The sequence below is a fragment of the Homo sapiens genome, chromosome 4 (genome assembly GCF_000001405.40).
Source record: "Homo sapiens chromosome 4, GRCh38.p14 Primary Assembly".
NCBI lineage: Eukaryota > Metazoa > Chordata > Mammalia > Primates > Hominidae > Homo > Homo sapiens.
In genome coordinates, this window is record NC_000004.12 from 105,533,493 (window position 1) to 105,559,826 (window position 26,334).

General features: G+C 36.3%; 1 protein-coding gene and 1 long non-coding RNA gene across 13 annotated transcripts in view, besides 2 other annotated features; one reads left to right on the forward strand and one right to left on the reverse strand.

The window, feature by feature from the left end:
* Positions 1–1,294: 1,294 nt before the first annotated feature.
* LOC105377352 (uncharacterized) lies at positions 1,295–18,792 on the reverse strand. Of its 4 annotated transcripts, NR_188418.1 has the most exons (5): positions 18,701–18,792; positions 9,079–9,217; positions 7,778–7,984; positions 6,562–6,834; positions 1,295–3,711 (listed from the first exon to the last, which is right to left on the reverse strand). It is a non-coding gene; the product is annotated as an uncharacterized LOC105377352 (long non-coding RNA). The 4 variants fall into 4 exon arrangements; NR_188421.1 differs by lacking the exons at positions 9,079–9,217; positions 18,701–18,792 and adding an exon at positions 11,286–11,370; NR_188419.1 differs by lacking the exon at positions 1,295–3,711 and having other exon boundaries at positions 3,951–6,834; positions 8,088–9,217.
* Positions 18,793–19,127: 335 nt separating this feature from the next.
* The window catches only part of ARHGEF38 (Rho guanine nucleotide exchange factor 38), a 129,947-nt gene continuing 122,740 nt past the window's right edge, over positions 19,128–26,334 (forward strand). For all 9 annotated transcript variants that reach the window (XR_938749.4, XR_007057934.1, XR_938750.4 and 6 more), the window contains exon 1: positions 19,128–19,469. Coding sequence is in view for 3 of the 9 variants with exons in the window: in NM_001242729.2 (NP_001229658.1) it covers positions 19,274–19,469 (196 nt within the window). In the remaining 6 variants the exon portion in view is untranslated. The remainder of the gene's footprint in view (positions 19,470–26,334) is intronic.
* Positions 21,736–22,285: an enhancer, noted in NCBI's record as "OCT4-NANOG-H3K27ac hESC enhancer chr4:106476385-106476934 (GRCh37/hg19 assembly coordinates)". NCBI's record gives its function as "activates a minimal SCP1, AML or CMV promoter by ChIP-STARR-seq in naive H9 embryonic stem cells {active_cell/tissue: H9 hESC(naive)}" and the evidence as "EXISTENCE:reporter gene assay evidence [ECO:0000049][PMID:30033119]".
* Positions 22,837–23,386: an enhancer, noted in NCBI's record as "NANOG-H3K27ac hESC enhancer chr4:106477486-106478035 (GRCh37/hg19 assembly coordinates)". NCBI's record gives its function as "activates a minimal SCP1, AML or CMV promoter by ChIP-STARR-seq in primed H9 embryonic stem cells {active_cell/tissue: H9 hESC(primed)}" and the evidence as "EXISTENCE:reporter gene assay evidence [ECO:0000049][PMID:30033119]".

Genomic DNA, 26,334 nt, shown 5'->3' on the forward strand with positions numbered 1-26,334 from the left:
TAGTTTTTTAGAAGTAGGATAACTAAGTCAAAGAGTATTAATAATACTCTTTGATACTTTTATTAAAAGGTAGTAATAAAAATATCAAAGAGTATTATTAATACTTACATATAATACTAATTTGACTCAGTTATTCTACAGTTTTCTAACATTCTTTCAGCATGTAATACCAACTTCCTTCTTAACCTCATAGAAAATGGAGAAAGAAACACAAATGTTTTCAACAGAAGAATAAATATGATTCTGTTTTAGAAAAAAAAGAAAAAAGCACAGTGGTAGCAGAATGACCATTTGCCATTTCCCTTCCTGTGAAATCTGTCTCTTTTTGACCTTTGCCCATATTTTATTATTGAGGTGTTGGTATCTTTCTTATCAGTTTCCCTTAACTCTTTCCATCAAAGTATTATTAAAGATAATAATTCTTTTTCATATGTGTGATGAATTTTTCTCCCAGTTTAATATTTGACTTATGGTTTTATTTTTATATCTTTGGGCCTTTTTTCTTTGTATGTCTTCATGATGAATGTAATATGCATTGCTTATAACAAACAATACAGACATTGATAAAGTAAAAAGCAAAAGCAAAGGGTAGGATAACACAGTATAAAAATCGTTGTGTATTTAAACTATCCTGCTTTTTTATGCCTTCTTAGTTTTGTGTAGTATTGTTTAAATTCTGTATATGTCCGTGTGTTTTCACTGGAGATTTCCATTTCTCTAGGATGGCATGGTGTTTTAGATTTAAAGAAGAGGAAGGGGGATTGTTGCCTCAGTTGAATCCCTAGTATTCCTTCTACTCAATGTTCTGAGAGGAAATCTTACTGATCATAAGTCATTTTTCTGGAACTTCCATGGTGAGTAGGGCTAAATATTTTAGCAACTGAAGAAACAATTTGAACAAACTGTTAGTTTTAGACATGATTTGTTAGGTCATCTATAAAAACAAATAGCAGGGGTGGGAGCGGTGGCTCACCCCTGTAATCCCAGCACTTTGGGAGGCCGAGGCAGGCGGATCATGAGGTCAGGAGATCAAGACCACCCTGGCTAACACGGTGAAACCCCGTCTCTACTAAAAAAATACAAAAAATTAGCCGGGCATGGTGGTGGGCACCTGTAGTCCCAGCTACTCGGGAGGCTGAGGCAGGAAAGTTGTGTGAACCTGGGAGCCGGAGCTTGCAGTGAGCCGAAATTGCACCACTGCACTCCAGCCTGGGTGACAGAGCGAGATTCCATCTTAAAAAACAAACAAACGAACAAAAAACAAATAGCAAAATAATAAGACATTATAAGGGAAGGCTGTATGAACATAGATGTATTTAATATGTCTCATCTACAAACACAAGCCCACCAAACATCTGTTTCCACAAGAAAGCGTTAATGTGCCTCTTAATATCCATGATATGATAGAATCCATTGTTTTCAGGAGTCAAGGGAACACTAAAGATTGGTAGGCATGCAAAGCCACACATAGTGTAGCTTTAGGCTGCTAGTATTTGCTGATCTTTGTTCTCTTTGCAAAAGGATAAAAGAAGAAGAGAAATTTGTCCAAAGGACCCAGGTAAACAACTTTTTACCTATGTTTAAAACCTTCATAAATTTGCCAGGATGATTCATATGTATTCTACTATATATAAAAGAAAGTTCTTTTTCTAAAAAAAAAAAAAAAAAAAACAAAAAACTAAGAAAACACCCATTTAGAACCACTACATACACATGGAGAAATGACATTATAGCTGAATGTAAATTTAGGAGACCGAATAAAAGTTATTTAGGTAGACAAGGCAGGGACAAGTATTCTGAAATAAAGGAATAGCAAGAGCAAAAGAATGAGGCACAAAAGAGTTTTCCATTTTTCTTTCTCTGTCCTCTGACTCCAGATCCTTTCCTGCCACATTCTTTATTCCTATCACTAAAATAAATGGTTCCATTAAACAATAACAAGTAAGTTTTAATATAAAACTGCTCAGAATGTTCAGAGGAAAAATGTTCTATAACTGTAAATATGAACAAGTAATTTATAAAATATCACTGAACTAACAAATTAATGTTTCTGGAATCATATTTTAGTTTTCTAGAAGACATCTGTCTTGTCTGTGGAAAGGTGAGAGAAGATCTTGTACACAAAGATTTATGTGCGAGGATGTTCAATGACTTATTATCTGTAATAAAGAAAAAAATGAGAATACCTAATTCTAACTCGAGACAAGTAGTTACATAAATTACGCCTACTAATATATGACATAAGGATATGATCACTACATATTCTCCATTAAAAATAGTTACAAAATATACAAGGTATAATTTTATATTTGCATAGAAATGTACATAGAGAGACATATAGAGAAAACACTGAAAGGATGTCCTATATATGAAAAAATAGTATTCCTTCTAGGTTTTGGAATTACTTCCTACATGTTTTCAATACTGTCTATAATGAACGCTTCTCACTTTATAATCATAAGACAAATCGCAATAAATTTTAGTGGCAGGGGTTGGGGAATAAACATATCCATTAGGAGTTTAATGGACTTACAGTATTTTAACTTTAGTCTTTGGTTTGTAAACTATAGGTCAAATGTAAATATAAGAAATGCTCCCTACTTGTTTCTTAAAGGAGAACCATGTCTTTGTATTTTAATCAATTAGATACATGTTTGAAAAACAAAAGTGAGACCTGTAATACCGATTGGAATACTTGTGCTTGCACTAAAAACTTCAAATATTTTTCTGCCCTCGACTTTGAGTAAACAACTTTAGAAAAATAACACATATTTTGAGTTATATTCATCTTTGGATGAACTTTAGGAGATTTATCTGTTGGATAATTGAGACTGAGTTATTATTGGTCTAAGGACAATTTTTTTCTACTATAGCTTAGCAGCCAGATACAGATTAGCATTTATCAATAAAGCTGAGTTTTGTTCTGTCAATAATATTGCTTAGAGATAGGCTATTAAAATGTGTCATTGTTAGTGCCAGTGCCTGTTCTGACTTATAAAATAAAGTTCTAGCAATTTAGAAAGTTATTCTCTTTTTTCACAGTGAGAAATATGAGGTCAGTGAGGATGTGACTTATTTATCTGTTGAAAATCATAGGAATAATAACTATATTTACTCATTGCTTACTATGTGTCAGTCTCACACTGGTCCTGAGAGAGGTGTCCTAATAATGAAAACATAATTAGTCCAAAACAATTAGAAAGTAGTTTCTTTAAAAAGGTAAGTGTTTTATCAATGATATATGTGGCATAATAATTAGGAACTTTTATACCTGTGTACTAATTGTGACATCATCACCTAGTATTTATGATGTTGGACAAATTATTCAAACTCCCTGACTTAGTCATCCCCATCTATAAAACAAAAGAAGCATTGTACCTGATATTGTTTGGATCTGTGTCCCTATCCAAATCTCATGTTGAATTGTAAACCCCAGTGTTGGAGGTGGAGCCTGGTGGGTGGTGATTGGATCATGGAGGTGGTTTCTCGTGAATGGTTTAACACCATTCCACTCAGTGCTGTTCTCATGACGTGAGTTCGTTCTCATGAGATGTGGTTGTTTAAAAGTGTGTAGCACCTTCTCACCACTCTCTTCCTCCTGCTCTGGCCATGTGAAGTGCCAGCTCTCCCTTTGCCTTCCACCATGATTGTAAGTTTCCTGAGGCCTCCCCAGAAGCTGAGCAGATGCCAGCACCATGTTTCCTGGACAACCTGCAGAACCATGAGACAATTAAATCTCTTTATTAATTACCCAGTCTCAGGTATTCCTTTATAGCAATGCAAGAACAGACTGATACAATACATATCTCATAAAGTTCTTGTGAGGATTAAGTGCCATAATCTATGAGCACCACTTGGAGTGCCTTCTGTTCAATAAATGTTAGCTATTAATACATTTTCATAGCATCTTTGCCATCAAATTTAAAATGAAACATTTAAAAACCTCCATGCATGTTTTGATTCTTTTATTCAATTATCAACTTATGGAATAACTTTTCTCATTTTTTGGAATGCAAAATACTAAACAGAAAAGATAAGACATTACCTTTCTGTAGCAAGCATTAAAAGCTCTTGTAATTTCTCTCAAACAGGTATTCTTAAATCTGGGCTGAAAGATTTAATATCTTCAAACCATCCAAATTGCACTTACTCAGTGTGTAACAGTAAGGGAAGGTTTAGCTGACTTTATTATCTGCTTAAAACAGATAGGATACTAAGAATGTATAGATATGGTGCCTTTGGAGAGCAAATTCAGGTATGATCACTAAAGATACTAATACAGGATTTGCTAGACACTTATTTGCTGAAGAGGCTCAGCAATTTATCCTGTGAAATATCCCAAGTTTCGGATTTTGTGTTAAATCCTCTTTCTGGTGTCATTTACTTTGTGCCTTCACCCCTGTGATGGCTATAATATAGAATTTAAATCAGAAGCCTTGAATCCTTGGTTAGAAGCCATCACTGATAATGTCTTTTCTTTTTGCATCACCTCAGGAGACACCTAATTCTGCCAAGACAATAAAAGTAGTGGTAGACTGACCCTAGAGAAATAATGATAAACAAGACAAAAAAGATCATGCTGTCATGGAAGTTGCATTACAGTGGAATAGAGGCATGATCAACAAGTAAGTAAATAAATAAGTATAATAATTCAAAATACTGATAAAGTTATAAATAAGAAAAAAAACAAAGAAATTAGTGAGTGAGATAGAGTGCTCAAGGTGAGGTTTTCCAGGAAAGCCTCTTTGAAGAGGTAACATTTGAGCACACCGTGAAAGATTAGAAAAAAACAGCAGAGGGAAAACCTGGGAAAGGGGACTTCAAGGACAGTGGAAATAATTTTCCACAGTGGCATAAGTAAATCTAAAGTGTTTGAGGCGGGGAAAAAAGAAGACTTTTGACTGAAGAGTTAGTCATCTGGGGAAATCTAGTTCCTGCAATGTGGTAGACCAGATATTGTAACTCCCTGTGCCACCAAACCCATAGAAATGATGAAAAGAAATTGTATATTTACTTTTAAATGTATAGCTGAGCTTACAATAAAGTAAGCCAAGCTCCTACTTGCCAAAAATGAAGAAGGCAAAATAAAATGGTAAGGTCAATTTGAAGATGGTGGAGGAAAGAATATTGCCAGCCTTGGTAATCATGGAAATGGGTTATAATAACCATAAAAGAATATGAAATGAGGCCATGAGCCTAATGGAGTCAGGGAGTGAAAACTGAGATTCCTGCTGGAGGACTAGAAAATTTCCCCATCAGCACAAGGATATTCTTCCAAAATATAACTTTCATGAGAGCAGAGATTTTGCCTGTTTCTTATGACATCCCTAGTCTTTAGCACAGTAACTTAGTAAGCTTTTATTGCATAAATGAATGTCTTGGTTTGGGCTCTAAGTAAAGAGGAAAATGTCTTCCCTATGAGTTTGTAACCATGCCTCCCCTCACATAAATTTGGGGGCTTATAATTGAAATAGGTAATATATGTGAGGTTTGCCAACCTCTAAGTGAGAAATTAACATAAAAAGTGCTCTGAAATTGGGATATCCTGGGAAGCCTAGAAGTAGCAAAAGGACAAATTATCAACCAAGATTTTCTACAGGAGAAACACATACATATTAAAAATAAGCTTAGAACCTAAAATTATAAAAACACATTGGGAAACTATCAGGTACAAAGAGGCACTTCAGTCATCTTTGCTTCATGATGCATCATATGAGAAAACAAAAATGTCTTGAAATTGATGAGAAAGTGATATATCAGCCATTTAATCCATACCTAATGTACTGAGAGTTCTGGTAATTTAACCATGTCAATGCAGTCTTTTTAACCATGTCAATGCACTCTACATTATTTACCGAAGAAAAATGATTGCCCTTTAAAGATTTTTTTAAAAAAAGACTAAGAAACAAAAACAGGTTAAAAGGAGCCAAATCAGGACTATAAGGTGGATGCCTATTGATTTCCCATTGAAACTGTCACAAATTTCCTCTTGTTTGATGAGATGAATGAGCAGGAGCATTGTCATGGTAGAGAAGGACTCTTTGGTGGAGCTTTCCCAGGCATTTTTCTACTAAAGCTCTGGCTAACTTTCTCAGAACACTCTCATAATAAGCAGATGTGATCGTTTTTTGGCCTTCCAGCAAGTCAGCAAACAAAGTGCCTTGGGCATCCCAAAACACTGTTGCCATGACCCTTGCTTTTGACTGGTCTGCTTTTGCTTTGACTGGACCACTCCACCTCTTGGTAGCCATTGCTTTGATTGTGCTTTGTCTTCAGGATCATACTGGTAAAGCTATGTTTCATCTCTTGTTACTATTCTTTGAGAAATGCTACAGGATCTTGATCCCAGTTGTTTAAAATATTCATGGAAAGCTCCACTCTTGTCTGCAGTTGATCTGGGTGCCATGGTTTTGGCACCAATTGAGTGGAAGGTGCTCAACTTTGATTTTTTAGTCAGGATTGTGTAAGCTGAACTAATTGAGATGTCTGTGGTGTTGGCTATTGTCCAAGCTATTAAATGTTGGTTAGTTAGGGCATGAAGAAGATAAATTTTTTCCTTACAAATTGATGTGGATGAATTTGCCACTGCAGGATTTATCTTCAGCATCTCATCCTTTCCTAAAACAAGTTATCCATTTGTAAACTGCTGATTTCTTTAAGGCATTGTCCCCATAAACTTCTTGTAAAGCATCAGTGATTTCATCATTCTTCCACCTGAGCTTCACCATAAATTTGATATTTGTTCCTGCTTCAACTTTAGCAGAATTCATTTTGCTCTTAAAAGGGCTTTTTTCAAACCAATTGCTTATTCTTCTTAGTACCTCAAATGAGATCCTGTTCAGACATGTTACAAAAAGTTAGCACAAGTGTATTTTGGTGCAAAAACATTTTTGAAATTCACGCATAGTTTTTTTATAATATGCATTTTCCATAAACCTTTTGAAGACCACTTGTAGTAGTGATTTTTAAAACATGTAACTTCTCTGCTTAAATTATACCTTGTATTTCTAAGGCTATGGTTAGTCTGTGAAGAATGTACAAAGTCCACTTAAAACAGACAGATTAGTTATTGTTTAAAAACTGGGGAAATTCAACATACAATGGATGAAATCTGATAGCTATATAAGTAAATTCACCCTAAGCAATACTAAATAAATGGGTGGTTTAATTGAGAAACACTAAAATTCAAATCAAGACATAAACTTTAGCAAAAAACACTAGAAAAATGTAAAATGCTATTAATAAAACCCCATATAGAAAATATTACAGAGAGAATGGCATTTCAGGAAACCTTCAGACCTATCATGGAGGTAGGCCACAGGGACCCAGACAGAGACAGTTTAGCATCAGTATTTCAAATCACCTTGGACTATACCTAAATAAGTCTGGGGGAAACTGTACAGTAGGCCTTACGTATTATAATTTGAGGGAGATTGCCCTTCTCTTCTGTATTAGCACTCTGTTATATTTTTATGGGAAATTGGTGCTTATCGATGGAGGAAACACTGAATTAATCAGCATCCAAGAGGCACTTCAGTCATCTTTGTTTCCTGATGCATGAAGAACAGTAGGAAACAATGAGATAAGAGACTAGGTAAGGCAATAATACTAGTAAATTGAATGTTTCCCATGCATACTTTTTGCCCCCATACAAGGCTTAATTTACGGAAAATGATGAACAGCAAAGCCTTGTTATGATCCTGATCCAATTTGCTTTTGACAGATTATACATCTTTGAAAAAAATGTGATCAGTGCCACCAAGGTCACAACACTCACCAAATGTCATCAAGGTCAGCAGAAATACAGATTATTCCACTATATCTTCACTACTTGAGGTCATTTTGGCAATCCCCAAAGAGATCAGAAGTCTGAAAAATAGGTGTCTATTCCTTGCCTGGGAGCACTCCTGCTATGTCCAGCAAACAACAGGCACTTGATAAGTATTTGTTACCTGACTTAATGACTTCTTTCACTTTGATTTACCTTCAGAGAAAAAAGGACTTAAATGATTTCTTGAAACTGAAATGAAAATGAGTATCAGTAAAAGCGGTAAGACATGAGTACAGACACATGTGGGTTTACTCACCTTATCTCAAAGTTGCAATCGCATATGGCTTTCCTGTGACTTTTTCTATCCCATCACACGTGTTGCTACACCCATTTTTCTGTCAACCCTTGAGTATCCCTGCCTCCTTTCTCTGCACTCAAGACACACACAGTCATATATCTCACCCTAATAATACGCTAAATGTTTCTTTCTTAAACTTTGGTCACAGAGGGGTCAAGATTCCTTTTTTTTATATCCAGCTCCTTTTCCCAGCAATAGGTTAAACTTGCTACCCTATAGTCTGCCCAGGACTTGATTACATATTAGCCTATTTAAAAGTCTGCTTCCAGAATTCCCCTGCATAAAGTCTTCTTTTGGGGTGGACATAGTCTCAGTTCAGAGTCTCTGAGCTGTTTCTCTTTTTTTTTTGCCTTTTATAGTCTCTCACTAAATCTCTCTTATTATTGCCTGTTCAATAATCTTCTGTTTTCTCCACCTACTCTTTTTCTAAAAACTTTTTGGTTTCTTTACAATTAAGGATTCATGACCTTATATCCCACCCCAAGTAGTGTGCACATCTTGTTTATACACTATTTATACTAACATCAGGACAAAATTTAGCACATTTAAAATCAAATGACATATTTGTTTTTAGTTTACTTTTGGTTGCTGTGAGTTACTCCTAATCCACACATATACTGCCACAAAAAAAGAAAGGAAATGGCTGTGCAAATAATGCCTGCAAAATGAGCCATTTGGCTTCAAGATTATAGCCAAATTATGCGACAGCTTGCAATAGTGAATTAGATGAGAAATTGTTTTCAGTATTTACAACATTTTGTAGCAAAAGAAAAAGATGTTTAGTTCTAGATTTGCAACGAAGCCACTGAAGCCCGTTTCACAATCATTTACACTTTTTGGATCTCAGTTTCCAAAAATGCTAAAACTGAGTTCAACAGTCACTGGCTTTGAGTACTTTCTTATGGAATCAACCACTTAGAGACTACAGAAAAGACAAGATGTAAGTTACCCTTTTATGAAGGAAATGTGCTTTCATAGGAACGGCACAGGTTTTAGAGCCTAACTTCCCAGGGCTAGATCTCCTTTATACCCTCTACCAGATGATCTAGAGTGAAGTTACTTAACTTCTTTCAGTCTTGATTCTGCATCTGTAAGACAGTAATAATAATATTTGCTTCACAGAATTTTTCTGAGGATTGCCTGAACAATCCTAAGAATATATAAATAGCACGACACAGTAAGGTGCTCAAATAAATGGTAGTTATTCTTAAAGCTGTTGTTCTACTTATTGATTTAAAGAAGGGACAGTATTTTGACTTGGTGACTTGAAGGAGGATCCAGTGCTATAAAAAATTTAGTGTCTGCTAGATTATTTTAAAATGTCAAACACAGAGTGTTTAAAGGGAAAGGGAAAATTCCCCTCACTTTCCTTCCAGTTCCAGTGTCCATGTACACATCTGTTCAAATTTTTTCTATATGTGAAATAAAAGTACATAAATATAATTGATTTTATCAAAAACAGTTCATGTTACATATGCTGTTAGATAAAAATATTTGGGTGGTAAGTGGAAAGGAACAATAAATATTTTCTTGGTTCAATAAGAAAATATTAGGTCTGAAGGAAAAAAATTAGCTGTGACCAAAGTGGAAAGAAGGCATCTGCATGCCACTGCAATTCTTTTTACAGAAATTCTCTAGGTGTTAATTTTATTAGACATTAATCACAATATTTTAAAATAAATAATTAAAGCTTTACTGGTAAAATCATTACTTAAATATTCATGTTGGTTGGGTGAAATAAAATCACATATACATTGCCTAATTTGCATGAAGTTTGATGGGTGTGTAGATCACAAATGAATAAGAATGTAACTCTCTCCTGGATGCTACTAGATCTTTTTCTGCAGAGCTACTTACTTGCAGCAGCCTAAGGAGGTTTTGCAAACACAGAGGATGGTTGGAAAAGGATACAGATTCTCCACAGTTATTTGTTACTCCAAGTGCAAACTGACCTAGTTATGGTTACCATGGATACTATAATTTTGAATTTAATCATATTCTGAAAAGGAGTAGCAATACAGCTCTATGAAACACTGAGATCAATCTGAAGCTCAGCCTTAAAAGGTGAAGAAACTGAGTCAGGGAGGGTAAGTGGTTTATCCTATATCAAGAGAGAAATTGGAAGATTCACAGAAAAATCTCAAATTTTATAAAGCTAAGTTCTATGATTAGTTCAGTAGCCAATGTACTTTTCAAAGTCACTCAAGCCATAAAAAATGCTTCTTAGCTTAATTGATTTACATGAGACTTTGCTGCACTTATTAAAAATACACTTTTTCTCCTAGTCATCTATAACTACTGTTTTTCAACTTGAAGTTAAAAAAGCACAAATATATATTTGGAGTCAATATACCAAGCTGTCATGATGAACAGGTTTCTGCACAAATGAAAACCAAGTGAAATAAAAATGAAAATGCCTGGGAAGTGGAAGAACAAAGGATCATTTGTTTTAACTTGAGCTTCTAGGATCATTTGATGGCCATATTTTATGAGTCTGCAACATATAATCCTGCATATAAAACATGATATTACTATAACATGTACATTTAAACATTCAACCATAATATTAAGATTTTCTTTTAAATAAATATTTCTGAATTCAAATACTTAGAATAAAAGAAACAGGAAGCTGGCTGCTTATAATTAAAATAAAATTTACCTGTAGTTCTGTCTCAAAAGTGATCTAAAATCAAGTAGGTGCAAATTTTAGGACATAAAGATGAGAGAAATTATACAGAAGGAGCAAAAGAATTAATTCTGAATTCTCCCTGGAAAATAAGAATAGTTCATCTCCTGTATTGGTTGCTTTAATACAAGTTGCTGTTCTGCTGAGTAACTCTTAAATGGATTCTCTAAGATCATAAACTATTGGAAATTGAAGCCAGTGATCTGACTTAGACCCTGGCAACATTATATAAGCAGTTTTCAAAGATTCCAGTGGTATCTTTTCTTGCTTATGTAGCTGGTTTTGATCATAGCCAGGCCACCTCATGCACTTGCAAAGATTCTTCCCCTTCCCTATATAAATTTCCCCCCAACAACCTTGAAAATCTTGTAATGGATGATTCATTACAGCTGAGACAAAGGCCCAAGTACTATCATATGTCATTGCTAAAATTACTTCAGTCAAGAGGATGAAAACATTAGAAGGTTTACCTCCTTTCAATCCTCAGCTCCCATCCATTGTTGGCTGACAGGATTATTATGCTGCTGCTTGGTCAGTGCATTAGCAGAAATTGTTGCTTTCAGGAAGCACAGCAGTGAATATAAAAACAGAGCTACAAGATAGCAGGGCCAGTATGAACAATTTATAGTTGAATAGAGAGCTCTCAAAGCTGGCTTTATGGTCGTCTCACAAATACATTAATGATCTCATCTTTGAGGAAATAATATTCCCTGAATTTCTCTTTGCTTCCAAATCTATATTTTTTCTTTCCAGGAGAGAGGGTACTGATCATAGAGAGGGGAAAAAAAATTAGCAGCTTGCATCTAAGCCTCTCCCCATACATTGGTAGGCTGCACATGATCTTAAGCTGCTATGCCTGACTTCCAACAACAGCAAACATTTATTGATCTCATATTGCTAGTCATGATAAGAGTTTCAAAGGCAAATTCCTTGAAGAACTCATAATGTAACTAGAGTCACATAATGTACAGAGCTCCCTCTACTATGATGGAGGTATGCTGATTTGTGATTTCAGAAGAGGGAGGGAGTGATTGTGCTCAAGGAGCAGGAGGGAAATGTCACAGAGGAGGGGACATTAAGTTGTATCATGAAAGGTGTGTCATATTTCATGAGGATAGAGAAGGCAATTTCATGTATAATAAACAGCTTAAACAAAATCAATCCCCAAAGAAAATAGAATACATGGTATGTAATGACTATGTGAGTGTATTAATCAGGGTTCTCTAGAGGGACAGAACTAATAGGAGATATATATATATACATAGCTCATATATATATGAGTTCGACGTTCAAGGGCAGGAAGTACCCAGCATGGCAGAAAGATGTAGGCTGGGAGGCTAGGCCAGTCTTGCCTTTTCACGTTTTTCTGCCTGCTTTATATTCTAGCTGCGCTAGCAGCTGATCAGGTGGTGCCCACCCAGACTAAGTGTGGGTCTACCTTTCCCAGCCCCTAGACTAAAACATTAATCTCCTTTAGCCACACCCTCACAGACACACCCAGGATCAATACCTTTGTATCCTCAATCCAATCAAGTTGACATTCAGTATTAACCATCACAGTGAGTCAGAATGCATTTTTCCAAATAGCCACAGCAATTTCTCCCATTCCATATGCTCTTCTTATAATGTGACTTTGATACTCCTCTCATTGAGAAGAGAGATTCTGTGCTCATTGAGAAAGTAGGCTTTGCAACAACAGTGGAAGTAATGCTATGTGACTTCATAGAATAGGTCATAAAGATGATAGATTTTCTGCCTGGCTCTCATAGGAAAACCCTTTGGAAACTTGAGCTACCATATCAATGTCTGACTTCCCTCAAGCTGCTATGCAGGGAAAGAAACCCAAACTAGGTCCCATGGAGAGATCAAAAGGAAAGGCCCTGAAACTATCAAGAGAGGAGGATGCCTGATCAACCCATAGCTGTCCTAGCTACTTGCCATTTTAGCTTCAGCCAATATCTGCCAACAACCACATGAAAGATCTGAGTTAGAACTACTTAGCTGAGCCTTTCCCAAATTCCTGGCCCACAGAAACTGTGAGAGCTAATACAATGATAAGCATTGTTTTAAGCAACTAAGTGCTGGAAGTGATTTGTTATTCAGCAATTAAAACTAGAACAGTAAGCAACTGGAAATGAAATTAGACAGTCTAATTGAGGCCTACATAATATTTGGATTTTCTCCTACATGAATGGGAAACAATCCAATAAGCTTTTTTAATCTGAAGAATGACACGATCCAATTTATAGTTTAAAAGGACACTCAAGAGACATTAGGCAAGATGAACAGGAGTAGAGAGACACTGGAGACAAGGAGAATGCTTGCAGGAATTCTCAAAGTTGAACTGTGCATAAAAATCACTTGAGGTGTCATAAAATTTCACATCCCTTGAACTCATCCCAAAAAATAAAGGAAAGGTAATGAGGAATTGTTTCTAGATACCTTTAGTGGAGAAAAGTACATTTGTTGTATGCTTGCTGTATGTCGGGCAGTTTGCTAGGCACTTGGTATACAGCAGAGTGGCTAAGATCACAGACTTTCCTGTAAGAGGGGCCTGAATTTGAGTTACTCCATCATTTACTAGCTATTTGATCTTGGGAAAATTATTTAACTTCCCTGAAACTGTTCCCATATTTTAAAAATATAAATATTATCCTACCTTTCTCACTATTTTACTTAGGTATAATCCTTACATATAGTAATTGCCCAATAATAATAAATGACTGCATAAAAACACATGCACACATATGTTCATTGCAGCACTATTCACAATAGCAAAGACATGGAATCAACCTAGATGCCCATCAGTGGTAGATTGGAGAAAGTAAATGAGGTACATATGCACCATGGAATACTATGCAGCCACAAAGAAAAGAATGAGATTATGTCCTTTGCAGCAATATGGATGCGGCTGGAGGCCATATTCCTAAGTGAACTAACACAGAAACAGAAAACCAAATACTGCATGTTCTTACTTATAAGTGAGAGTTAAACACTGAGTACACATGGATGCAAAGAAGGGAACAGCAGGCACTGGGGCCTAGTTGAGTGTTTTGGATGGGAGGAGGGTGAGGATTGAAAAACTACCTCTAGGGTACTATGCTTATAACCTGGGTGATGAAATAATCTGTACATCAAACCCACATAACATGCAATTTACCTATAAAACAAACCTGCTCATGTACCTCCTGAAACTAAAATAAGAGAAATAATAATAATAAATGATTGCAAATGTTCTCAGCAGTGTTATTCCCACGTTTCAATGTTCTTATCTCCTTTAGCAAAATTCCTTCTATTCCTGCTTTTTCCTCTACATATTACCAAAACTCCTTTGGAAAAACTTATAAATAATCAACATTGTGTCAAATTAAAAGGAATTATTTTCATTTCATTTGGTTTCCTGGCAGGCTATCCTTTCATTTTGGAAAAACTTGCTTCTAGACTTCTATGATGCCACATTCCACTGTTTTTCTCCTACCTCAATGGTTGCTCTCCTACTTTCTTTGATGCATTTTCCTCCAAAACCATTCTAAACTCAGAGTCCTTCAGGGTTTGATTTTGATCCTTTTCCTCTTCACATATTTTCTTCTTAAATGACCTCATCAATCTATGACTTAACATAACATGTATATTTTGATGACTCCAGTTTTTATCTAAAATCTAAATAGTGACTCTAAATTCATAAATCTGAAGGCTACTTGACATTTCTCTTTTATCTCTTATAAGCATCTTAACACTAATGTATCCTAAATTGAATTCTTGATAATCTCACCAAACTTACTCTTCCTCTGTGCTTTTTCCCTCCTATAATAGTGCACAGCACAAAATATCTTCCCAGTTATTCAATCTAAAACCTAGAATTCATCTTTCATTCAATTTTTTACTCATCCACTTAAATCAAATCATCTACAGGTTGTGTCAGTTCAACTCTTAAAAGGTATTTCGAATTCATCAACTTTTCTTCATTCCTATTCCTACTATTGTAGTCCAAGCATTTCTTGCCTGGACTGCTACAATAAGCTCCTAACTTTTTCTCTTTCCTTCCTCCAATTTAGTTTATTCATGACATCATTCAAGAGATGTGACTTCTGTTTTGGAATTATGAGTGTTATAATCTAGAATCACCTTGGATTATTTCAGAATCCTGAGATCACATAATGCTAGACGTGAAGAGATTTATGTATCAAGTAATCCACATCCAACATTAATAAGAATAGTTTAGGTTATGCTAAGTCTAGGTAATAAAAAAAGCCCCAAATCTCAGTAGACTAAAGCAACAAAGGATTCTTTCATGATCAAACTATACAATCATCATGGGGTGTCTGGGGGTTTTGTTCTGAGTCATCTACATTCCAGGACTCATCCTGATGGAGCAGCCACTGCCTGGAATCTTGCCAGTACCAAGAATGACAGAAAAACAGCTATAGCAAAAACACCCACTGTGTTATTAAAACATTCGCTAAAAGTGACATCCTTCACATTCAATCAATTTCTTTGGCCAAGGCAAGTTGCTTGGCCAAGTCTAAATCAAAAAGGTGTAGGGAAGTGAAATACCTCCATGTGCCTAAAGAGAGAACTGAAAATATTCAGTGAATAGCACTAATGATGAATTCTCCCTTATATTTTACAAATGAAGAAATTGGGACCTAGGGAGACTATGTGAACCGTAAGATCAAGAAGCTGATTTACATCACAGTCAAGACTAAAACTGAGTCTTGAACTCACTGTCCAGTGCTTTTCCTAATAATGAACCGGGAATTGTTTGTTCCTTATTCAAGCAAAATACATTTAAATGTCTTAATATCAATATTTTATTTATTTAAGTAATATCAACCTTCTGTATTAAAGCATTTTTATACCTTTGCTTAGAGGCCTTGCTTCTCCAGTCTCATTGATGCTCTAGAAAGATGCCCCAGTGTTAAAGCACTCAAAATCTCTTTGACCTGGCTGTTCTCATTTCTAGCAAAACTAAGTCATTAAGTCATGTTTTATGCTAGGGATTCTAAACACACTGGCTTAAGAAATGTCAAGGAGATAAGCAAGAGAACTGTGAATCTGTATGTAAATTAAGCACCATCTGTTAAATCCACTAGAACTGTATTCGCAACAAGAACTCCAATTAACAATAGCTTAGGGAGGGGAGATTTATTTGACCCTCATAACAAGTCTAAAGGTGAATGACTACTGATGTTGGTTCCATAGGTCAATGGTATCAGAGCCCATGGATCTCTTGGTCTTTTCTCATGGACACAGGAGGGCTGTGACTGCTCCGTGCATTACCCCTGTGATCAGTCTAGAAGAAGGGGGAAGGTTGAAGCCAGATGAGACTGCCCCTTTTATTGGAGAACCAAAAGCTTTCCCAGGATCAATAATCCACCCCTTATTCTTTCAGACTATTATAAAGGTCCTATTTGCCAGGACCGGGGTTACATGGCCAACCCTAAGAGAAAGGGAGATAGAAAAAAAATAGGAAAAAAGATTATCGTTGATTGGCTAAGACTAATGCTGCCTTGAACAAGAGAAGGGTTCTGTTGGCAAAGAATAGCATGGGGGTAGGAGGCGGTAAAAATGAAGACCAAGTAAGCAACCAACAGTGTCTGCCTGATTCCCTGATTGAATAGAAGATTGTTCTGAGAGAATTTATCTATCATTCTTAAATTTTACATTCAAAATAATGTGAATAAATAAAATATGTATTTACCACTGAACTCATAGTAGCTGTTATGTATCTTAATAACTGGTGAAAATAAAAAACATAGTCAGGTGCTGTATAATGATGTTTCAGTCAAAGATGGACTACATATACAATAGTGGTCTCATAATATTATAATACCATACTTTTACTGTACTTTTCTATGTTTAAATACGTTTAGAGATACAAATACTTACCATTGCATTACAATAGCCTATGGTACTCAGTACAGTAACAGGTTTATAGCCCAGGAGCAATAGGCGGTACCATATAGCCTAGACATGTAGTAGGCTATACCATTTAGGTGTGCGTAAATGCATTTCATGATGTTCACACAATGACAAAATTGCCTAATAATGCTTTCCTCAGAATGTATCCTTGTTGTTAAACAATACAGGATGGTATAATGAAGCTACGTTTAAAGAAAATATATTCCATAATGTTCACACAATGACAAAATTGTCTAATGATGCTTTTCTTAGAATGTATCCTTGTTGTTAAACAATACAGGGTTGTATAATGAAGCTATTACAATAAGTTCTGCTATAACACTTGTTTTGAAAATACAAATTTGTTCCAACAAGATTGACATATTAGGGAATTGTTTGAACATAACACAATTTCGCATTTGTTTGTGTGTGATTTTGTCTACTTGAAACACTAGTCGAATGCAGAAAACTACCCAGATGACCTGAGCCACATAAGAATACACAAAACTCACACAGGTACAATCCTCAAACCTTACCAGTGACCTCAGTTCACTGCCTGAGTTATGAGCCACACCCATCCACATCTGGTGTAATAAATTTCCCCCGATTTCAAATAATGCTTCTTCTGCCATTTCACAACCCTTAAGCTGTGACCTTTCTGAGGCCCATTTCCACAAGCAAATGCCGTGTCTTTTTCAAGATAAAGGGTTATATTTGCTGTAGTATTTATGCATTTCTTAAGCATTTATCATGTGTAAATTCTTGCTACCATTTTTATTAGGTCTTGATCTGATTTTTATGGTCCATTGACAAAGTTTCTGAGTGCTCTGTCCTAAACCTCATGTTACCCATTAAGTCCTGTAGTTTTAATTGAACTTTTTTTTTCAGTGATACCGTATCTAAATAAATCCCTGGTGGTTACCAGGTGAATATAAATAAGTGTGTATATGCATACATACATTCATACATATATAATATTCGAACACAATTGAGGCATTTTGACATAAATCCAAAAAATTCCTTTTATATTTTAGAGGTAAATAAGCCTTTAAAAGTATTTATTAAATGTACTTGGGAGGATTTATTCAAAAAAGACTATCAATTATATTAAATAAAAGCCATTCAATACGCCAAGCTATATATAGATGTCTCCATAGTGGGTGAAGATGTGTCATTTATCTTTTAAGATAATTATGCAAACTATATTGAGCACACACATCCTGAGCTGGGAAATGACTTTTACATCTTTCTCCTCATTTATAAATCTTTTCCAACAGAAGTTATGCAAGATTCAGACTGGTCAGCACAGAGCTGGATTTTGGTGGTCCCTTTACAATAGGAGAGAATCCATTTTCCTCCTTAGGGTCTTTCTTTTCTTTAACGAAGGCATACAGAGCACTCAGCACATTCCCAGAGCTTCTTAGAATTTTTCCCTTGAGAGATCTCAGGAAATATGAGGAAAAACAACTTCAAAAAAATTAATGAAAGGCCTATCACTGTCTGCCTTTCTCTCTTTTAATCCCTGCCCTATCCTTTCTACTTTCTAGAAGTGTAGTGCCCCTTCAGTTTCAAACATTTTTCCTCTCCTTAAATTCCCAAGGTGGGATGCCCTTTTCTGGCACTCCGTCTATGAAAGGGACAGGGAAAAGATCTTATAGAAACTGAACCCTGACACGGGGCTTATTTTCCTAAGGACCAAAACATAAAAGGACAGGGTGGGACCATGGAAGGATTAATTTCAGGCAAGGGCAGCCTGTGGAGAGTGAGAAATCTGAAAAGGCTCTAGGCTTCTATGGGCATTCCCCTCCACTTCTTCTGCCTGCTGCCAGATGACTCTCACATGTGAATCCTTATTTCCTCAGGAATGCGGATCAGGGTTTGGCAAGTATGTTTTCAGTAAATAATTGCTGAATGTTCAACGCTTAAAGGCAGAAGCATAACTTTGAGTGTGCACAGTAATCACTGAAAATGATTCTGTACTCACCGTTTTGATGCAAATGCAAATTCTCATAGCCCCTGCACTGACTCCGTGGGTCACCTGTGAGTAACTCTAGCCAAAAGCCACGCACAAGCCCTGGTCTGCCTCCAGGCAGCAGACCACAACACAGTGCCCTGAGTGCACCTGCACACACCCATGGGCACACATTAAACCCATAAACGGCGGGTTATGCTAACGTGTACTTCCTTCCTCACTGCCTCACCTTGTTCATTTTCCTTTTTCCCCACCCCTCACCCCATACAATAGGATTTTTGTTTGCTTCAGTAGCATGTGACAGCACAGTCCCTGCTTTGCCTAGCTCTGTGCTGCAAGTCTCTCAGGTAACAGGTGGCAGCTTCCCCTGTTGGATTCTAGGTTTAAAAAAGAATGACCTCATGTGGGTGGAGCTCTGGGACTTCGTAGAGGTGGTGGCAGTCACAGCCAGGTAACCCTGGAGTGAAGCGGTTTAGTTAGAAGGGAGCAGATAAACTCGTCACTCTAGTAGCTTTAACCCTCACCCTGAGGCACCTTAGCAATCAGCCATTGCCTGCAAGCCTCCAAAGCTTGTCTTTGCCTAATATGGAGCCCAAAGAAGCCACTGGGAAAGAAAACATGGTCACCAAGAAAAAGAATCTGGCCTTCTTGAGGTCTAGACTCTATATGCTGGAGAGAAGGAAGACTGACACTGTGGTTGAGAGCAGTGTTTCTGGGGACCACTCTGGCACCTTGAGGAGGAGCCAATCTGACAGGACCGAATACAACCAGAAATTACAAGGTAACCAAAAAGAAATCAATTGTCCCAGTTACTGCACTCCCAGCTCCATTTCTGCTACGTTTCCAATTGCAAAGAAAACACACAAGGCAGAGGGGAAAATTGAATACCACCTCTCCTTCCCACAAAATAAGAAGATGAAAGTAAATGTGACCTATAAATTATAGGGAAAAAAATTTATTACGTGATTCAATGTTAAAGAGTCAATTCCGAATTACTCTTAATATTGCTGTGTTTTTCTTTTTTTTTTCCTGGTGAGGGTAATCATTTTTCTTCTAACTTCCTCTTTTCTTCTCCCTTCTCTACCCAACTTAAGAAGTGGGAAACACTGGAAAGCAAATGAGTTAGAAACCTACAAAAGATTGTTTATCTCAATGGGTAGATATGTGATATTACACCATGAGATATATCTAGGTAATGGTACTGAACTATGATTGTGGTTATCTTAAATAGGGGCATGAAACTATAATCGTGTCTGTGACAAAGAAGGAATGTTATAGTCAGAGAGACGGTATAAAAAGATTTGCTGAAATTCACTTAGGTGATTATTTCCTTTGAGTAAATTGAATAATACTCAAATATGGTAAGAAATGTTTAGCATGCTTATTTTGAATGACATTTGAGGAAATAACTTCAGTTTATTTTGTGATGGTACAAAGATAATTTGGCACAGTTATGATAGCACATCATTTGTTTCAGGGCCTTAATCTATATCCTGTCCTATCTATCCTTTCTTTCTCTCCTGTTTCCTGAAGGTCATTTGTTCTAGTAAAATTTCATTTTGATGTTGATATTGGGCAGCATTTTAAGTCTTTTCTTCGGTACTTGTTATGTGGTCCTCCAGAACTTGCCTCTCCTGCTTTTAGCACAAGGTGTGTCTGAACTCTCATCATCCCACTGTGAGCTGTCGTTTTGGATTTAAAAACTGTGATGAGGTCAGAAAGACCGATAGGACATGCTTATATTTAACAAATCTCTTTCCACAAATATGAGCTTAGATTTAGTTATGCAAATTAATTAAGTTAAATAAGTTAAATTAAATGCATTTAAATTAAATCTAAAAATTATTACTATAAGTTAATGTGTAAAAATAAAAAAAAAATTACCAGTAGTTCAGCACTAAAGCACAGCATCAATCTTATCCTCAAATACTTTTTTTTTAAAATGAGGGAGAGCATTGTTTAATCTTTGAAATTAATTTTTCTCCAAGCAATAGATACATTGGAAAGAATGGATGTCTTAAAATTTCAACTTTTATTTTAGATTCAGGGGGTATATATGTGTGTTTGTTACTTGCGTATTTTGTGTGATGCTGCGATTTGGGGTACAAATGATCTCATCACCTGGGTACTGAGCATAGTACCCAGTAGGTGGTTTTTCAGCCCTTGCCTCTGTCCGTTTCTCGCCACTCCAGTAGTCTCCAGTATCTATTGTTGCCACCTTTATGTCCATGTATGTCTAATGTTTAGCTCTCACTCATAAGTGAGAACATGCAGTATTTGGTTTGCTGTTCCAGCATTAATTTGCTTAGGATAATGGCCTCCGGTTGTATCCATGTTGCTGTAAAGGACATGATTTTGTTCTTTCTTCTGGCTGTGTAGTATTCCATGATGAATATGTACCATGAGAATTTAAAATCATACACATTTAGTTTCTAAACCTGGTTCTTCAACTTACTACCAATTAGAACTTGAGCAAATTACTTGAAATATCTGAGCCTCAATTTTCCTGTCTGTGAAAGTGGGACTAATGATACTTGCCACATAGTGTTGTTGGGAGATTGAAATTAGATAATTACAAAACATCTAGTATACTGGCTGATAAATTTTAGGAATAATGGGTACCATAATGATAAAACAGAACTTGCCCAATATTAATCGAAGTTTGTATACCTTATTTCTCTTTTTCAATTCTTTTTTGTCCTTTGATAAAGAGACCACATCTAGAAATTCAGGAAAAGCCCATTGCTTTATCCCTAATGACATGTTTTTTCTGTCTGAGTTTCACTAATTCAGCATCTATCAGAGTCTCCATTAGCAAAATAAAAACAGAAAATAATTTTTGCTATTCACAAATTTTTGCTTACTAAATTTTCCTAAAAAAATAAGTCTATGACCACACAAGAGAGCAGACATGGGTTGGTTACTTTGCAGAAGACCTCAGACTTCTTACGCACTTCATTTGATTTGTGGCTTTCCTGTGCTCTGTTGGATTCTTTGAAGGTGGAAGGCAAAACTCAGCAGTTAATACATGCTTCTAGTCTGTGCTTGAGAAAAATCACCAAGAAGTATAGAGGAGCACATAAGCCATAAAGATAGGCTGGCCTCCTGAGAAGTAACATCTTAAAAACGTAACCCTTAAAAGAATCCAAGTCTGATTATCGAACGCCTAATAGAGCTTTTAGCATGGTTCGACTAGAACAGGGAAGGCGACAAGGGAAGGCATTTTCTCATTAATGTTCAAAGCAATCAGTTCTGTGCGTTTGTTCTCTGGCCTGTACGATACCCATTATTATGCAGATGAGTCCTAAATCACCTTAAGAAGCTCTTTATTATTCAAATGCCGAGAGATTTTCCTCTCCCTTTCTTGGAACTGGTGGTCCCTGGGAGGCACTGAATAAACACCTGGACTGGTTAGAGCCCTCAGATAGATGGCCTAAAGCTCTTGTGAGGTCAAAGAGTGCTTTCAAATACTGGAATTTCTGGCAACACCACATTCCTCAAATTATTTAGCTGGTTATTTAATTAGTTATTTAATTGGTTGTCCTTCAATGCTATATTACCTGAGTAAAATTCACTGCTCTAACTCTCTGGGGAAGCAAGTTCTCTGGGTTCCGTAAAATGTAAGATTTTTCTTTGGTGCTCTTGAGCTTGTCTTTTAACTCATGATACCTAGTCTATCTGTTCAATTCAATTTCTCACATCACTTTAGTAGCATGAAACTTAAGTTGTAATAACAATTTTAAAAATGGTACACTGGCTGAATTAAAACGATAGAACATGGCTCTAACCAGGACATCCTAAAACCTTTGCAGAAGATTGTGATCACATCAACATAGTCATTCCTACTAAGCCTGGAGTTGTATAATAATAGAAAGGCCACCCTTAGGCTCCCTTACTCCTTGAACAGATTAATTCAGTTGACTAGCATTTATTGAATATGTTATACCTTGTTCTTTGAAATTAATTTTTCTCAAGGCCCTTGATACATTGGAAAGAATACAAATTGTAAAATCATACACATTTGGTAAATTGACATTTATTGAATGTTTTAGATGCTGTGTCTTGAGGGTTACAATGAACAGCAAAAACAGAATATGTGCCAGGAATTACAACTACAAAATCATCAAGAAAACATGTCTGACCTTTACTCCAAAGAGGCTCAAAGTCTGGTTGGGAAAGATAAGACAGGTAAACAAATAAATACAATAAAGTGGCATGATAGAAGTGGAGGTAGGATCAGTGGGTCCACAAAAGGAGGAAACGGTCTATTCAGGACTGCATGAAGGAGGTTGTCAGAAAATGGTGTCTCTAAGAAATGGTAAGGGTAGGGATGAGGGAAGGTACAGGTAAGAGAATGGCATTTTAACCTCTTCACTGTATTTAGCTCTGTCTGAAATGGTTTTTGTTTCCTTGTTTATCACCTGTTATTGACTGTTGTTCCCCTCCCTTTTCTCTCCCTCCCCGCTCATACACCATGAAAGAAACCCTATCTGTCTTGTTAACTGTTGCATCTCAGCAGCCCAGAATACAGTAAACACTCAGTAACTGTTAAATAGAGTGAATGACTTGAATGATCAGGCCCAAGCAGGAAACTGGTGTGAAGAAAGACACCATGGCCTGAAATAAGAGCCATTGTATTTATCTAAATATGTGAGGACACATGTTTCTATCAGAAAGATGATTCTTCAGTTAAATGAACATCAGAGATTAAAATGTACAGAATTTATATAATAAGTAATTCTTAGTGGAAGCCTGTTTCATTCCCAACTCGACCTTTCAGAGCACACAACAACCATATTTCAAAAATTCCTCTTCTATTAGTGACAAGAGCCATCTTAACTTCCACTAGCTCAATTCCTCATTTCCATTCTACTGGGAGCCATAGAAATTACCTAAATACAAGAAATTTAGTGGTTGAGTTGTAAAAACTCAGAAAGGGTTTCATAAATACTTATATACATGATCTCTACATTTGAAATATGCCTAATTTAAATAGTTATACAGAACTGTGTCTGTGCATATGCAGATATATATGTGTATATATATGTGTGTATATATATATATCTCCAGTATGTAGATATAGATATACATGTATGTACTTGTATGTGTTCGTGTGTGTACTTGAGACACTTTTTTGCAATGATTAGACTTTTTATTGAAAGTTACTATAAAATTTGAAGAACAAAAAGAACAAAAGTTTACTAACATTCAGGAGTCTTTTCTGAAAACCATATATGAATTATATCACTGACATTATAGGTTTCCTCTCAGTATGGGTACTATGGACTGAATGTTTGTATTCCTCTAAAATTCCTATGTGAAACCTAATCCCCAATGTGACAGTATTAGGAGGTGGGGTCTTTGGGAGGTAATTAGGTATTGAGGGTGAAGCTTTGGTGAATGGGATTAGTGACCCTTAAAAAAAAAAAAAAAAGGCAAGAGAGAGCTTGCTTCTCTCTGCTCTCAGCCATGTCAGGATACAAGAAGGTGGCCATGTGCAAACCAGGGAGTGGGCTCTCAGCAGGAATAAGATCTTCCGCATTAGGAATAAGATCAACTTGATTCTGGATTTTCTAGCCTGCAGAACTGTGAAAAATAAATTTTTGGTAAACTTAAGCCACCTAATCTCTAATATATTTGTTATAGCAGCCCAAACCAACCAAGACGGGTCGATTACCTTTATCCTCTATGGCCACACTAAACTTCTGGTTAATTTTCTGGCCAGTGCATATTTTTGTTTATCCAACACCAGGTGAAAAGGTGAGAATACATGGGTAAAATGCTATTACCCATTACCACTGCCGGTAACACAAGGCAAAAATTACGTCTCCATTTCTTAGTGTGTCTGTGGTACCTTCTATTTTTGCAAAGGCTATTGTATCATTCTAATTAAGAAAGGTTATCTTTATGAGACCCAAAGTTGTCTTAATATGGTGCGAAAGATGAACCACCCTACTGTATGAACTTTATACAAAATAACAGATTGTGCCATGTGGGGACAAGTGGCTCAAATAATAAATTAGACTTGGTAAGACTATGAGGGCATTTAATTTAAAATGTTTTTTAAGAATATAGACAGTCTGTCAGGGAGCAGAAATTAACACTGGAAGACTTGGTGAGTTTTGTTCAAGGCCAAATGAAGAATGGAGTAAAACAAATTGTCCAGCTTCCTGTGCATGTTTCTATCCCAGTGCTACAAACCCTTTTTGTTCGTGTCTGTTCTTTGATTAGTGAGTAGCTCCTTCCCCTTTATCTGCCTTCATACACTCTACAGTGAAATGGGAAGTATTTGAATCAGTAATGTGACACCAGTACAAACAGGTGTGTGTCATAGTTTGAAGGGCAAATCTTTCTAAAAGGCAAGACGCTTTAAAAACTCAGTAACTTTTGTCTTACTGCATATATAGAAACCAGTGTAAAACACGGTATTTTACTTTCCTATTTTTTTCAGTAGAGACATCTTGCAGTTTTTAGAAGGACCATTTGTGTCAAATAATGTGTGAGTCACAGAAATTGAGACTGTTTGAGCTATTCTACTACTACCATATTGTGATGGGCAAATTTATTCCTATGTTTGACCGATATGACTTTAGGTATAACTTTCTTAAAAGTAGCAAACACAATTTCTAGTTGTGCTTTTTTTTTTTGTTTATAAAAATTATGGGTTTATCAAAATGAGACATCAAGAGGAAGAAGGAATGAAAGAAAGGAAGGAGAGAGAGAAGGGGAGGGGAGAGACAGACAGAAACCAAGCAAGCAGCAAGAATGAATAGAAATATACCTTAAAATAGTAATAAAGTTGGAGAAATGATGGGAGAGAGAAAAGCACCCAAGCCACATTCATCTTTGTTTCTGTTGACACAGGAAAAGAAAAAAAAAAACCTCTGTTTACAGAATTACTTTTTCTTGATGCCATAATCATATTAGCATCAGTACCTTTATGAATATTGATTTCCTGATAAAAGTAGAATTATTGCAAGAGTTGCTAAATTTATAAGCAGTATCGTTCTTAGAACCAGTCAAGACTCAAAGTTATGGCTTATTTGGGAGTCCTACCTTCACTTCTAGACTGTTTCTGAGACTGTGGAATTTTCTGTTCAACAGGCCTCAGTACTGGCTCCAACATTTGCTTGGACCGCTTCTTATCCCATGCTCTCAAGGGCAGACTGTGGTTGCTGGTGTGCATGCTCTTAGGCCTAAGGCACAATTGATGATGGGGGTGTTTCTGGAGCTTGATCATGCTGGAGTGTTCAGATCATGTCTACCAGGTTCCTCTGGGTGGGAAAGCTGGTAGAGAGAAGAGTAGGGATTCAAGCCTCAAGATTAGGTAGGAGTGCGTGTGTCCCATGGTCCCCTGCCAAATTTTGGCATAAAACTCTGAGGGATATGAGAAATCTAAATTAGAAGTTGGCCTTTCAGATTGTTATAAAATATATTTATCAAGACAGAAGGAAATATCACATTTTATTTAATAGTTTGCCAGCTTCATTTATAACTTTTAAATATGTAGATCTGGTATGCTGGCCTCCATCTGTATCCTTGCTCCAGGTCCCACAAAGGAGGCAGCTATGTGTGGTTTTTGACTGTAATCTATTTCAGGATATAACCCTTCTTCTATACTAGGTTGTGAAAGTAAGAGGGAAGGG